At 58.2% G+C, this 12837-nt stretch overlaps 2 protein-coding genes across 5 annotated transcripts, besides 7 other annotated features; both read right to left on the bottom strand.

Moving 5' to 3' along the window:
* On the bottom strand, positions 1123-6060 carry HYAL2 (hyaluronidase 2). Of its 4 annotated transcripts, none has more exons than XM_005265524.3 (5): positions 5968-6060; positions 4883-5088; positions 2884-3850; positions 2271-2360; positions 1123-1854 (listed from the first exon to the last, which is right to left on the bottom strand). In XM_005265524.3, the coding sequence occupies exons 3-5, from the start codon at positions 3802-3804 to the stop codon at positions 1444-1446; spliced, it is 1422 nt and encodes a 473-aa protein (XP_005265581.1). In that variant the 5' UTR covers positions 3805-3850; positions 4883-5088; positions 5968-6060; the 3' UTR covers positions 1123-1443. The 4 variants fall into 4 exon arrangements, with proteins under 4 accessions (XP_005265581.1, NP_149348.2, NP_003764.3 ...); NM_033158.5 differs by having other exon boundaries at positions 4681-5088; NM_003773.5 differs by lacking the exon at positions 4883-5088.
* Positions 3095-3768: an enhancer, noted in NCBI's record as "H3K4me1 hESC enhancer chr3:50357211-50357884 (GRCh37/hg19 assembly coordinates)". NCBI's record gives its function as "activates a minimal SCP1, AML or CMV promoter by ChIP-STARR-seq in naive H9 embryonic stem cells {active_cell/tissue: H9 hESC(naive)}" and the evidence as "EXISTENCE:reporter gene assay evidence [ECO:0000049][PMID:30033119]".
* Positions 4364-4803: a silencer, noted in NCBI's record as "silent region_14391". NCBI's record gives its function as "represses an Ori minimal core promoter by ATAC-STARR-seq in GM12878 lymphoblastoid cells {active_cell/tissue: GM12878}" and the evidence as "EXISTENCE:reporter gene assay evidence [ECO:0000049][PMID:35858748]".
* Positions 4824-5163: an enhancer, noted in NCBI's record as "active region_19900". NCBI's record gives its function as "activates an Ori minimal core promoter by ATAC-STARR-seq in GM12878 lymphoblastoid cells {active_cell/tissue: GM12878}" and the evidence as "EXISTENCE:reporter gene assay evidence [ECO:0000049][PMID:35858748]".
* Positions 5797-6470: an enhancer, noted in NCBI's record as "H3K27ac-H3K4me1 hESC enhancer chr3:50359913-50360586 (GRCh37/hg19 assembly coordinates)". NCBI's record gives its function as "activates a minimal SCP1, AML or CMV promoter by ChIP-STARR-seq in naive and primed H9 embryonic stem cells {active_cell/tissue: H9 hESC(naive and primed)}" and the evidence as "EXISTENCE:reporter gene assay evidence [ECO:0000049][PMID:30033119]".
* Positions 7253-7754: an enhancer, noted in NCBI's record as "H3K4me1 hESC enhancer chr3:50361369-50361870 (GRCh37/hg19 assembly coordinates)". NCBI's record gives its function as "activates a minimal SCP1, AML or CMV promoter by ChIP-STARR-seq in primed H9 embryonic stem cells {active_cell/tissue: H9 hESC(primed)}" and the evidence as "EXISTENCE:reporter gene assay evidence [ECO:0000049][PMID:30033119]".
* Positions 7963-8152: a silencer, noted in NCBI's record as "silent region_14392". NCBI's record gives its function as "represses an Ori minimal core promoter by ATAC-STARR-seq in GM12878 lymphoblastoid cells {active_cell/tissue: GM12878}" and the evidence as "EXISTENCE:reporter gene assay evidence [ECO:0000049][PMID:35858748]".
* TUSC2 (tumor suppressor 2, mitochondrial calcium regulator) lies at positions 8224-11538 on the bottom strand. Its single transcript, NM_007275.3, has 3 exons — positions 11269-11538; positions 9672-9792; positions 8224-9501 (listed from the first exon to the last, which is right to left on the bottom strand). Exons 1-3 carry the CDS (start codon positions 11412-11414, stop codon positions 9436-9438), a joined length of 333 nt encoding a protein of 110 aa, NP_009206.1. The 5' UTR covers positions 11415-11538; the 3' UTR covers positions 8224-9435.
* Positions 11673-11782: an enhancer, noted in NCBI's record as "active region_19901". NCBI's record gives its function as "activates an Ori minimal core promoter by ATAC-STARR-seq in GM12878 lymphoblastoid cells {active_cell/tissue: GM12878}" and the evidence as "EXISTENCE:reporter gene assay evidence [ECO:0000049][PMID:35858748]".

Raw genomic sequence — 12837 nt, forward strand, 5'->3', positions numbered from 1 at the left:
TACTGAATGAGTAAGTCAGTATTAGGTGAAGTCAGGCCTGGTGCTGCTCTAGGGCTGCCCCTCCTGCCTCTGCCCACAGCAGCCACTAAGCCACACCCCAGCCCTGAACTGTTCACCTTCACCACCTCCAACTTCCTCCAGCCTCTGCCCAGGATTTGTTCCTGAGCATCGAGCTGCCGCCCTCACCTTTTAGAACCCAATGTGGGAAGCATCTCCAAGGGCACCACCCCTGCTCCCCTGCTGCTGGCTGCCCTCACCACTCAACGGCTTCTTGAGTCTGTCTCCCCAGAGCCAGAGCCTCCTGAAGCAGGGCTGCGTGGTGAGTCATCACGGACATGGGCGGGACCCCAGGTGTGGGGTTGCTGGCTGAGGGGAGAGGCAGAATGCACTCCCGTCAGAGGCAGGGCTAGTGAAGCAGCTCAGAGCTGGTCTGACAACTCCAGCTGCTCCTTCTTTCCTCAGGGACAGCCAGAGACTAGCCATACTCTCCCACAGCCAGGACGGAGCAGACCTTAGAAGATGTTCCTGCTCCCAGGCCCAAGATGCCACCTCCCAGCCCCATCAGGCATCTCTAGAATGGGACAGGGACTGAACCTCACGATTCAGATCCCAATCCCCTGCCCACCTCCCACCACCAGATCCGAGGGAGGGCTGTGACCCTGATGAGAGGTGTATGTGGCTGGTGTCCACTGCCCTTGGGAGCAGGGACTGGAGGAGACACCCTTGCCTGTGGGAACAGCAGGGAAGATCAAACGTTTCTCCCTTGGGTTGGCAAGGAGGCTGGCACTGGTCCAGCTGGGAGGACAGGGGCAAGTGGCAGAAACACAATGAGCCCTGTCCCTCACACAAGGCGGGGCCTGACTCCCTTGCAACCAATACGGAGAAAGCAACGTCCTTGGTGTTGGGATGGAATGTGGGTCCCTCCACTCCCACTGGGGTGGCTCCTGCCCCAGCAGAACAGCTCCAGAGTGGGCAGCTCTGGGCCCCCAAGTCTTGGTGAATACATCTTACACGAGAAGTCCCCAGCAGAGGGTTTCATAGAGACAGAGCTGAGCTCAAACCCCATGGGAAATTCTGGAATCTCGCATACACTTTAGCCCAGGTACAAAATCCAAGCAGAGAAGCAATTGTTTTATGTTTAATTTACAAAAGAGACCCCAAAATAATAATAATAATAAACTATCTAGGGCAAGGGAGTAGGGTCAGGTCCTCCCCAGCCCAGCTGTACCCTCCTTCCCCTCTGGCAGGGAGAGAAGGGGCCTCCCAGGGACTTCCCCTCCCCCTTAGAACAGGGGGGTGCGAGCTGGTATGGATGCCCTCCTGGGCTTCCTGGGGGCTCTGCCCACTCCAGACTCCAGTTTGTCCACCCCCTGCAGGGTCCTACATGCCTAAGAGAGCCCTTGTGGTAGAGGCCAGCTTGCTAGGCAGCTAGGCAGGAGACCCCTACAAGGTCCAGGTAAAGGCCAGGGCTGCCAGAGCCAGCAGACTGGTGAGGTGGGACCCAGCCCAGGCCTCGCTGGCACCTCCAGCTGCCTGCCTATGGTCCCACTGGCATTGCTCACCACTCCAGCCCAAGTAGCACTGGCAGCGGAAGTGTGTCTGCAGGTGGTCAATGTCGGCCCAACTGAGCTCCCCCACAGGTCGCAGCTGGGGTTCACCAGGTGCATGGCCAGGCACTAGGCGGAAACTGTTGGTGCTGAGATGCAGGAAGGTACTGGCACTGGGGTTGCGGCGCACACAGCGCCCATGGCCATGGCACTGGGCCCGGCTGCAATATTGGGTGGCCCAGGACACATTGACCACGTAGGGGACCAGCAGCCGTGTCAGGTAATCTTTGAGGTACTGGCAGGTCTCCTGGAGGCAGAAGACAAGGACCACAGGTCAGGGTCAGCTGCCTCAGCCCACAGGCCCAGATGGAAACTGTGTCCACACTGTGATGACTATACCTTATTTTAACTGCACACATTCATACATTCAATCTGCACCTGAGCCACACAGTCCCTGCTCCTGCTGAGAAGTGGGTGGGGGTACAGACCGGAACCCAGTTGGGCAGATGGGGAAGGGCGGAACTCAACAGCTGTTCAGGACAGCATTTCCTCTTTCCTGAGAGCAGGGCCGGGGTGACCTCCTCCTGTTGCCACCAGGGATGCCTCGGGTGGGAGACAGACAAGGGGACCAGACTAGGATTGCCCACCTGAGGTTGGTAGCCAAAGGCCCTAACTCTCTGTCTGTCCCATAGACTGAGCTCTGGCAGGCTGGGTCTCGCTTACCGTGCTTGTGGTGTACCCCGCGTCACCCCAGAGGATGACACCAGCTGCGCCCAGGGCCGCACTCTCGCCAATGGTAGAGATGAGGTCCATCTATGCAGGAAAAGGGATGGTCACTGGGGAAGACTGAGACCACAGGGTGACAGGAACAGACAAGGAGGGCAGACCCCAGCCTGATTCAACCTGCTGAACTCCCAGCTCAACCCCCATTTCACGTCCAGGCAGAGGCTCATTTGTTTTGCTTCCTTTTTAAACATTTAAGTCCATTTCCACCCCACTTTTGGGGCTCAGTTTCCCAAGCCAAGGGCACACTTGAGCCTAGGTGCAGCTATCAGGATGGATTCCAAAGTTAGAAGGCCTGGGCCCCAGTCCCAGCTCTGCTCTGGATTTGCTGGGAAGCTTTGGGCAAACTTCTCAGCATCGCTGTGCCTCAATTGTTCTCATCTGAAAAATGGGGATAATGATGTCACCCTTTCAGGTTATAGACAGAATGATTTGAGGGGATGTGGAGCAGCCAATAAACTACAGGTATAGTCCTATAGTGGCCCCTGATAACCCAAATGTGCAGTGGATCCTCAAGGAAGGAGAAAAAAGGCAGGGCCCTGGAGACACATACCTCACTAAGCCCCGTGAGCCTGCGGCTGTAGGTGGGTCGTGTGAAGACGTAGACTGGGAGTGCATGGTTGGCATGGTGGGTGCGAGCCACACGAAGGGCCTCCTGAACACGGAAGCTCACAAAGTTGCGGCCATGGCGGGAGGAAGCAAGTGTCTCGTCCAGGTAGACAGACGGGAAGAGGGCCGTGCTCTCAGCCCACAGCCAGGCCAGCTGGTCATTGCGGGCCACCTCAACATCAGGGCAGCGGCCTGTGTAGCTCTCCCAGTTCTGCACATAATCATGATTGTAGCAGTCAGGAAAGAGGTAGAAGCCCCAGAGGTGCCGGGGCCGCACTGCCTTGACATAACGCAGTGTCTCCAGCATGAACTGCTGTGCTGCGAACTCAAACTCATATTGTGCCTGTTTGACTATGCGGTCTGGAGGCCAGTCAGGGTGACGACTGGCCACTAGCTGGCGTGATAACCGGCGATACACATCTTTGTCCTGCCAGTTGCGCACCCACACAGGTCGCCAGTCCTCCCAGTCGATGACCGCCAGCCCCGCAGACTCCTGTGTCCGAATGTAGTGCTCCACACGTTTCTGCAGCATCTTCCGGTGTGCCCAAAGGCTGACATTCTGTGGCACACCACCATGCACAGACCTTCCGGCAGAATCGAAGCGTGGATACAGGCCTAGACGGTCGCGGTAGAAGATGGTAATATTCTGGTTCACAAAACCCTCATTAGGTGAGGCCTGCACATCAAAGGCATTCAGGTCCAGTGGCACCTTGAGGCGTGGGCCACAGTCCTGTGTGGGCACGTCCCACGCTACCACAAAGGGCCGGCCAGTGAAGATGGGTGGTGCTGTGGGCTTGAGCTCCATGGCCCATGACACCGCCAGCACCAGGGCCAATGTAACGGTGGGGCCTGGGCCTGCCCGCATGCTGGGGGCTGCAGGAGGTGTCACCTGCCTGGCACCAGCTCAGGAACTGGAAGAAGGGTTGGGGAGAACAAGTCAGTCTAGGGAATACTGGAAGTGCCCACCTCAAGCCCATCTATGCTCCCAAAGCCCATGCTGTGTGGGGGCACTGTGCTCATGGCTGTAATAGGTTTGAGAGACCACAGGCCACTGCAGGGCAGACAAGGCACCCTGGGAACTCACTGCCAGAAGCACAGGGCTCTTTTCTGGAGCAGGTAGCCTGTGGCTCGGCACAAATCTCTATTAGGTCTGTGACCCTTCTAAGAACTAGATAATTTGGGCTCACCAGAGTCACATATATGCCTGCATACCATCCAGTACATGGTTTCAGAGAACCCTGAACAGCTGATGCCCACCCTGTACACCGTGAAGAACCCTTGATCCAGAGAAACGACAGCATTTGGGTAAAGCAGGGAACAGCTCGTCAAGAGGCTACGAAACTGGAAGGAACGCTGCCGGGAGGCTTCTATCCGTGTAACACTCGCCCGGCAGAAGAGTGAGGCTCTCCGGACTTTCTCTCGAGCGCTGACACTCTCCCGGCTTGGAGGAGGCCCCGTAGGGACAAAGGGGCAGCGGACCTCCCACGGCGGCGCCGGCCGCCCGGCCCTTCCCTCCACCGCCACCGGGAATGCGCGCGCTCGCCTCCCCCGCCCGGCCGCTCAGGGCTAGAGCGCGCTCCGCCGGGTCTTTGTGCGGGACCCCGCCCCCGCCCCACACGTGGGGCCTGCGCCCGGTCGGGTGGGGGTGGGGTTTCTGGGACGCCTCTCCGCGAGCACCCCCGGGGATTCAGACCCCAGCCCAAGGGGAGAGAGCCGCCAGGTTTGCACCGCCCGCCCTCACCTCGCGCGGGGCGCCACCGGGACCGGCGCCAGGGCCACCGCCATCCCGGGCCCAGCCCAGCCCGCTCCGGCCGTTCGCCCAGGCGCGGCCCGGCTCAGCGCCTCTGCTGGCTCCGCCCCCAGGCACGCTGGCCCTTTAAGACTCCAGTGCGGAGGTGGGCCCGGGATTGGACTTGCGGACGGGGCGGGAAGGTGTGGTCCACCTTTCTCGGTGCCGGTGCCTCGTTTCGGGCTCGAAGAGCCCCAGGTCCTCTGCAGAGGGACGTGGCCGCCCATTTAGGACCCTAATGCCCCTCTGAGCCGGGCTTTCTATGGGAGTCTCAGCCACGAGCGCCAGTCAGCCTGAAATGTTTCCCCTGCAGCCCGAGGCCGGTGGTTCAGTCCTCCCAGCTCCGCGGCGCCGCCAGCCCTTTAAAGAGACAGTGTGAGGGACAAGGCAGGGGGACGGGAAGGGGGGGGGGGGGAATAGGAGGAGGCGTTGCCCCGTTCGGCCATCAGGAGGTGCTGTGGTACTCCGAGGTTGGCAGGGGGCAGCACCAGATCTGGCTCTGCACCCCCTAACGTAGACGCCAGCCGTGGGTCCCCTTTGTGTGGAAAAAGGGACTTTGACCTGAGGCGACCTCTGGTCTCCTGGAGAGTAGTGCCCCGCCTCCCACGAATCAGGGGCCCCCTTCTCTGGTCCGCCGTCTAAAGGGAGGCCCCGCCCCCTGCCAGACTGAGGGAAGGGGCCAAGCACCGCTTCTTAGCCGGCCCAGGAAGGGCCGAGGCAGTCGTTATCCTGGCAGCCCGGCTCTGGGTCGCGGCGTGGCCGCAGGGTTGGGGTCAGGGAAGCTCAGAGGGGTCTAGGAGGTTGGCCGCCCCTCTCCCTGACTCGCATCAGGGCGGGACAGTCATCCCTGAGATCCCGTCCTTTTCTGCCCAGTCTCTGAGGTCCTTTGGGAGCCCGGCTCCCTCTCAACCCCGAGGAGGCCTCCATTCCTTGCAGCAGTTTCTGGCTGGACCTCCGAGAAAGCCAGCAAGAGGGGTCTCCCAGGGCCTCCATCCCGTATCCAGCGCCCCCTACGCTCCACAGGCCTCTCCCGGTGGGGGGCAGGCTTAGACCCTGGCGAGCCCCGTGCGAAACCACCTCGGCTCTTCCTAGGTCCGCTCCCTTGTGCGAGACTCAACTCCCAAAAGGGCCCGCGTCTGCACCACCAGCCCCTAACCCTCCCGGGCGCCAGGAGAGGGAGGGAGTGCAACTGCGAGCGCATCTGTGGGGGTGCAGACCAGCCGTCTGCTCTGGGCTCACCTGTGTGGGAGTCCGTCGGCCCAGTAGGTCGGTGGCCTCCCTCCTTCCTGGGGTGAGCCTCTCCAGCTAGGCTACTTGCGCCAGCTGCTGCCCGTTGGGCAGCTCGCCGAGGACTTGATAAACCCCATTCCCTCCCATCCGCTCCCGCCTCCCATCCCAGCCCTTTCTCCTCACTTCCTGCTGCCCCCTGAGAGGAAAGGGCCAGGAACAGGCGTGGGGGAGGAGATCGCCTTGACCCTGTTTCCCTCCAGAATGCCCTGCTGGCTGGCTGCCCTCCCCACCCTTCCCGAGTAGGATCTGGCCCCGCCAGCTGCGCCAGGTGACAGGAAGGCTATGGGCTCAGGATCAGGTGCCAATCTCCCCCACACCCACAGCTTCCAACACTAGGGAACCTCTTCACTCCTTCCCTAGGATTGGGGCCCATCCTCAAATCCAGTAGGGTGTGAGAGGATGGGGTCAGGTGGTGGTGCTTTTGGGAGTCAAAATACTTGGGGGTCGTTCAGCTGATGGTCCCCCAGAGCAGGTGCCCAAGAAGGGAACTAGCCTTGGGGGGAGGGTCGGGGGGACTTCCAGTAGCTGAGTCCGTTTTTTTCCACTGAGAGCTTCCGCATCCTGTGTGACAGGACAATGTGTTAGTGAGTGTGACTGTGTGGGTTGGGGAGGAGGGGATGGACTGGGAGGGTTCTGCAGAGTGCTTTCCTGCTGGAGTTCATTCCTGGATGGATTTCAGAGTCCACTATACAGAGTAGGGGGCTCCTTACAACATGGATGAGGAAAGGGGTATACTCCTCTGGGAGGGGTGTTCCTGTGGCTGGCCCTAGGGAGGACTGCAGCAAGGTTCCAGCAGACCTCTCCAGGGGTGCAAATCTACCTACCCTCAAATCACCCAGAGCCAACCCCTCAACAACCCAATGGCCCAATGCCCAGGAGCCTCTCCCCCAACAGAAGGCTGTGTGAGGGGTAGGTGAATACCCAGGAGTCTGGCCCTGAGGACCAAGGAGTCCAAGACATGGTAGGGGAAGGTGCAGTGTCCCTGTACCACTGTGCTGGCTTCACAGGGGCCAGAAGCCTTGAAAGCTCCATGGGTGGGGACCCCCGGGGAAACAAAGGCTAGGCCAGACTGTCCCAGGGCAGGGACACTTCCTCAGGCAGCCAGCAGGAAGGAAGTGAGCACAGCCCGGCGGGAGAGAGTGGGGAAGTGTTGCCTGACCCCCATTGTTTCCAGCGATGGGGTCAGCTGGGTAGGCCCAGCACAGGGAGTTCCCTCAGGCTGGGACAGTGGTGGTAGGAGACAGGATGCTATCTGGCATGGGAGAGCCCTGGGCCTTGAACAGCCAGTAGAGGGGGACCATGGAGGATGACAGGGCCTCATGTTTGGCATCTTATGGGGGTATGGGGAGGCACCCCACAGAACTGCAAGTCCAGGCTGGATATGGTGATCCTGCCCTAGCCTTGACAAGTTCAAACCTCCGAAAGACTGGCAGACCAGCTCCCTACACTCAGAAGCCTGTCCCTGAAATCTCCCCTCTTTAACTGGGAGTTGGACTGATAGTCAAAGCCTAAGCCTAGTAGAGAATCTGCCTTATAGCAGCCCCTGAGAAGTGCAGGCAGAATGACCACAGTGGGCAGGCTGCAGGTGATGAGAAGATGGGGGCAACAGACAGCAGGGGCAATACTAGTGGGCCGAGCCTTGCTTGCTGAAACAGCAGCCTGAGCTCATTCTCCCATGGTGTCCGCAGGCAGGCCTCAGAGGAGGCACATGAGTTTGGGTTGCTGAGCCTGGCAGTAGGCCAAAGGCGTGGGGACACCTATCTGGCTGCTGTCCATTAAAGCTGGGCCTTTGAGGTCCATGGGGGTCAGGCCATGACCCCACTTAGGATCAGCTGGCGATGCTACAGCTAAGACAGATATTCCAGAACTATCTTGGGTCACACTCTCTCACCTTAGATCAGGCAGGTGGGGCCAATCCTTAGTGAAGTATCCCAGGGCCTTCTGATTCCAAGGGTCACCACCACATGGATCACAACAGATAAATGAGTGCCCTCCCACCCTGCAGGGGGCCTGCAGTGAGGTCTGTGTGAACACACAGCCACCTGCTGGCCACAGTTGGGATGGCCACAGGCTGGGCTCAGACTTACTCTTGGGCTTTGCTGGTCATAGGGGGCCTGCCAGAGTCCTGTGCCAGGCCTACCTATTGAACCCAGGTGGTAGTCTAGACACTGGGTGTCAGAGCCCCCACAGGATGCCACTCTCATGTGCAGGATCTACAAATCATTTTATTGAAATTGAACAAATAACACAACAGTCTTCCTAAGCTAGGGGCCATCCTCCCCAAGCCATTTCCCACATTATAGAAGCACAGAGCTTGCACAGTACTTAAAAAAAAAGTCACCTCTATATAGAAATCAGACTCTGCCACGACATCATCATGGACTATTTACAAACCTTCACATTATAAGTATTCCTTTTATGGTTTTTCCCTCCTTTCTTTCCCTACCCAGGGGTTCTAGTGCTTTCCCTTGACTGATCCTGAAGGGGTGGGGGTTACTGTAAGGGAGGGGGTGGTAGGCTACTCATAACTACTGGCACCAGCCTTAGGGTGTTGTCCCTTACCACAAGGTGGTGAACAGTCCCCTCCCAATTGGAGGGGTGGAGGATTTGGTGCAAAGCCATGGAGATTAGACAGAATAGGTGGGTTGGAGTAACTCCCCATAGGCACAAGCATCCGCAGCCTGTCCTGACCCCAGCCTGCACTCTCTCAACTCCTCAACTGGGGGTTCGGGGTTGGGGGGCAACAGTTAGTTGCAGTAGGGGGATCAGCCCAGCCCTGGGTAGAGGGAGAAGCCCCCACCCAGTCCCCACTCCTATCAATAGCCAGCAAACTGTCCATCCATCTGAAGGCGGGAACAAATGGCAGGTAGGTCGGAAGAATCAGGCTGGCACTGCCCCCAGCCTCTGTCCAACACAGGAGGAATCGAGGTAGCAAACGGCTGAAATGCTCTGACTAGGGGTTAAAAGGGAAGTGAAGGAAAGGAAGTTCCTACTTGTATACAGTGCCCACAGCCTAGGGGCTGGAAGAAAGCATACCTTGCTTGTAAAGTGCTGTAGCCTCTAGCAGGGCTAGGCCCCAGGCAAACTTGGAAGAAAGCAGACCAGGCAAGGAACCAGGTAACGGGCATTCCTGACTGGTATATGCCCTGCTGTGCTGCTTGCAGGGGTGGCTTGGGAGAGTGGGGTGCTAACTCTGCCATTAGCCTTCACCACCCACCAACCACCTCTTGTCCACACACAAACCAACACCCAACCAATACTGTGGGACCGACCCGCTCACAGCTGAAGGTTATGGGCCAACAGAGTTTATTCAGGGTTGTGGCCCCAGCCTGGGCTCCTCAATGGAAGCCACACCTTGATTGAGCCTGGGAGTTTCTTGCCGGGGCAGGGGGTGCTTCTGTCTGCCACCTCCCAGGGTCACACCTCATAGAGGATCACAGGGAAATCCACGTGGATGCGGGGGTGATCCAGCTTCACGATGCCCTGCCATGGAAACAGAGGCTAGTAAGGGTCAGCTCAGGGCCTCTACTTCAGGAAGCTTCCTTGTTCCTCCCAGATCCCCCCGCAAAAGCCCCCACCATGACAACAGATCCCATCTGGGTCCACCTCCACACGCTTAGTGTAGGCTCTGTGACCGCTGCCCAGCCCCTCACCTGAGGAATCAGATTCTTATGCACTCGCCTCAGCTTGGCCCGCTTCTGCCCGTTCTTGGTGACGATTGTCTCCTCATAGAACTCGTGAGCCAGATCCCCATCCTCATCATAGAACATAGAGCTGTGTAGAGGGAGAAGGAAACAGGCTGGGCTGGAGCCCCACACCTGGGCATGGCAAATGTCACAGGTCACGGGGAAGTCTGTGGTCTTCCCAACCCCAAGTGGGAAGAAAAGAGGATAATATGCCTGGAGAATCCTTTTTTTAAAAAAAATTTTTCGAGACAGAATCTCACTCTGTTGCCCAGGCTGGAGGTGCAGTGGCGCGATCTCAGCTTGCTGCAACCTCTGCCTCCTGGGTTCAAGCAATTCTCCTGCCTCAGCCTCCCAAGTAGCTGGGACTACAGACATGCACCACCACACCCTGCTAATTTTTTGTATTTTAGTAGAGACGGGGTTTTGCCATGTTGCTCTGGCTGGTCTCGAACTCCTGAACTCAGGCAATCCACTCGTCTTCATCTCCCAAAGTGTTAGGATTACAGGCGTGAGCCACGGTGCCTGGCCTGCCTGGAGAATCCTTTGCCTGGGGTTTGGGGTCTACTAGAAGAAAGTGGGAAGTGAGGTGATGGGTGGGCAGTGCTACTATGTCAGACCCCCAAGAAGAGAGCCCACACCAGAGCACACCATCCAGGCAGCCACCAAGGCCAGTTCTCATCCTTGATTTGTTCAGCAAGGGCAGCCATTCTAATATCAGGACTTTGCCTTCACCCAGGACTTCTAGAGTGGGCAGGGTGGTGGCCTGGGCATGTTGGTCTCACTCCAGAAGATGCTGCTGGCCCAGTGTCAAAGACTGAAATAGCAGAAGCCTAAGCTAGGAAGAAGCACAAAGGAATGAAGGCTGCGTCTCCCCTGACCCCACACCCCAGGTGGCTGGTGAATTGCCACTGTTGGGTCTTCCTGGTGTCTACAGCCAAATCTCTAGCACAGGGAGCGCCCATCTCCAGGAGCCCACTAGAGCCAAGCCAATCTGGTACTCTTGTGCGGGCCTCTGGGAGACTGGGCTGGGGGTTGGGTGGGTAGGTCAGCGCTCTGGATCTGGAGAACATAACTGGGTGAGGGTCTTTTTTCCTCAGCCTCACCCCCAATACTGAGGCCTATCCCTGCTTTCCCAGCCACTACGCTCAAAGGTTCAGCCCCACTACTGTCAGGAAAAGCAGCCTAAACAGAGGGTTATTATCCCCTTGGAATAACTGGGGGGGAAAGGGAGGCTAGGACCCTTCAGTATGCAGGCTGAGCCGGAAGGGATGAAAGGAAGAGATCTTATGGAGGTCTTATGGAGGCCCTAGCTTAGCTTTACCGTGCGGAAGGTCCGACCAGTGACAAGCCTCAGGCCCACTCTTCCCTAGGGAGACTTTCAGAGTGGCCAGGCCGCCAGGAGACCACTGCCCGGCTTTCTCCACCCCCAGCTCCAATGAGGCTCAAAATATGGGGGTCGTCCTGGCTTGGCTGTAGTGGGGTACAGCGGTGGAAGTTCCCCCGTGGCGCGGGACGCCTGGCCGCCCGCCTGTTCCCCCCGCCAGGGTGGAACCCATGCCCTTACCCGCGGCGCGTGAATACGAAGGGGGGCACAGCTCGGCCCCGAGGCCGCACCAAAGCTTGCTCAGCTCCTGCTGCCTCTGAGCCGCCGCCTCCGGCCGCCGAGGCGAAGGGCCACAGGCCCCGAGCTTTGGACCCGCTGGCGCCCATGTCAGGGCCGCCGGCGCATGGCGGGCCCCGTGGCCGCTCTGCTCACACCGCAGTCCGCACTACCATAACCTGCCCCAGCCGCTGATCGCAGGTGCCGCCGCCGCCGCCTTCCGCAGGCTCGGCTGTCTCCACGGAAACCTCACTTCCGCTTCCGCACGCTGCCACCTCTGATTGGCTGTTGCTCAAGTCGTGGGGGCGGGACCAATGGGCGCCCTTAGATGCTGGGCATCCCAGCATGCGTTGCGAGATCCCAGGTCCCAGCAAGCGCGATCTGACCAGCTGGGACAGCTCCCACCGAGGAAAGTGGTGGCCGTGAGTCCTCCCGGTCTTTTGGGTGTATTTGGCGGCTCTGACGTCCCCCAACACCTGAGTTCAGGCCTAGCAGGACTTCGCAAGCACCAATCCTCAAACCTGCACTTCAGGGCCTAAGGCCAGACCGCCGGGTGCCCATCTGGCTTCTATTTTCACAGCTGTATTTTTGCGATTGCCACGCTTATGTGAACTAACCAAGTTGAAAGAAAATTAAGGAACTGGCCAGATTCACATAGTTACATTCAGTTCTGAAGAACTTCGAATTCAGTGTTTTCAAACCCAGCAGAGTCCATGCTTAATGAAAGCAAGAATTGTTAACAGCTATACCCTCGGTATCACGAGCAGTGTCTGGTCCACGGTGGCAGCTCTGTATTTGGTGAAGGAGTTATGCCACACCTTCTCCCAGAGCGTGGTGTGTGTGTGTTGAAGGGATGGTTTTGTTTTTTTTTTTTTTTGAGATGGAGTTTCACTCTTGTCGCCCAGGATAATGTGCAGTGGCACGATCTCGGCTCACTGCAGCCTCTGCCTCCAGGGTTCAAGCGATTCTCCTGCCTCAGCCTCCCGAGTACTTGGGATTACAGGCATCTGCCACCATGCCGGCTAATTTTTTTGTATTTCTAGTAGAGACGGGGTTTCACCATGTTGGTCAGGCAGTCTTGAACTCCGGACCTCAGGTGATCCACCCGCCTTGGCCTCCCAAAGTGCTGGGATTACAGGCCTGAGCCACTGCGCCCGGCCGTTTTTTTTTTTTTTGAGTTGGAGTCTTGCTCTATCGGAGTGCAGTGGTGTGATCTCCACTCACTGCAACCTCTGCCTGCCGGGTTCAAGCGATTCTCCTGCCTCAGCCTTCTGAGTAGCTGGGACTACAAGCGCCCACCACCACGCCCAGCTAAATTTTTTTTGTATTTTTGGTAGAGATGGGGTTTCGCCATGCTGGCCAGGCTGGCCTCGAACTCCTGGCCTCAAGTGATCTGCCCACCTAGCCCAACCAAAGTGTTGGGATTACAGGTGTGAGCCACTATGCCCAGCCAGTTTCCCTAAGTTCTAACTGCAGTCCATTTTTGTCTCCACCACAACCTGAGCCCCAGGGAGCTGAGTGATGACCAAGTAT

The sequence above is a fragment of the Homo sapiens genome, chromosome 3, assembly GCF_000001405.40.
Source record: "Homo sapiens chromosome 3, GRCh38.p14 Primary Assembly".
Taxonomy (NCBI): Eukaryota; Metazoa; Chordata; class Mammalia; order Primates; family Hominidae; genus Homo; species Homo sapiens.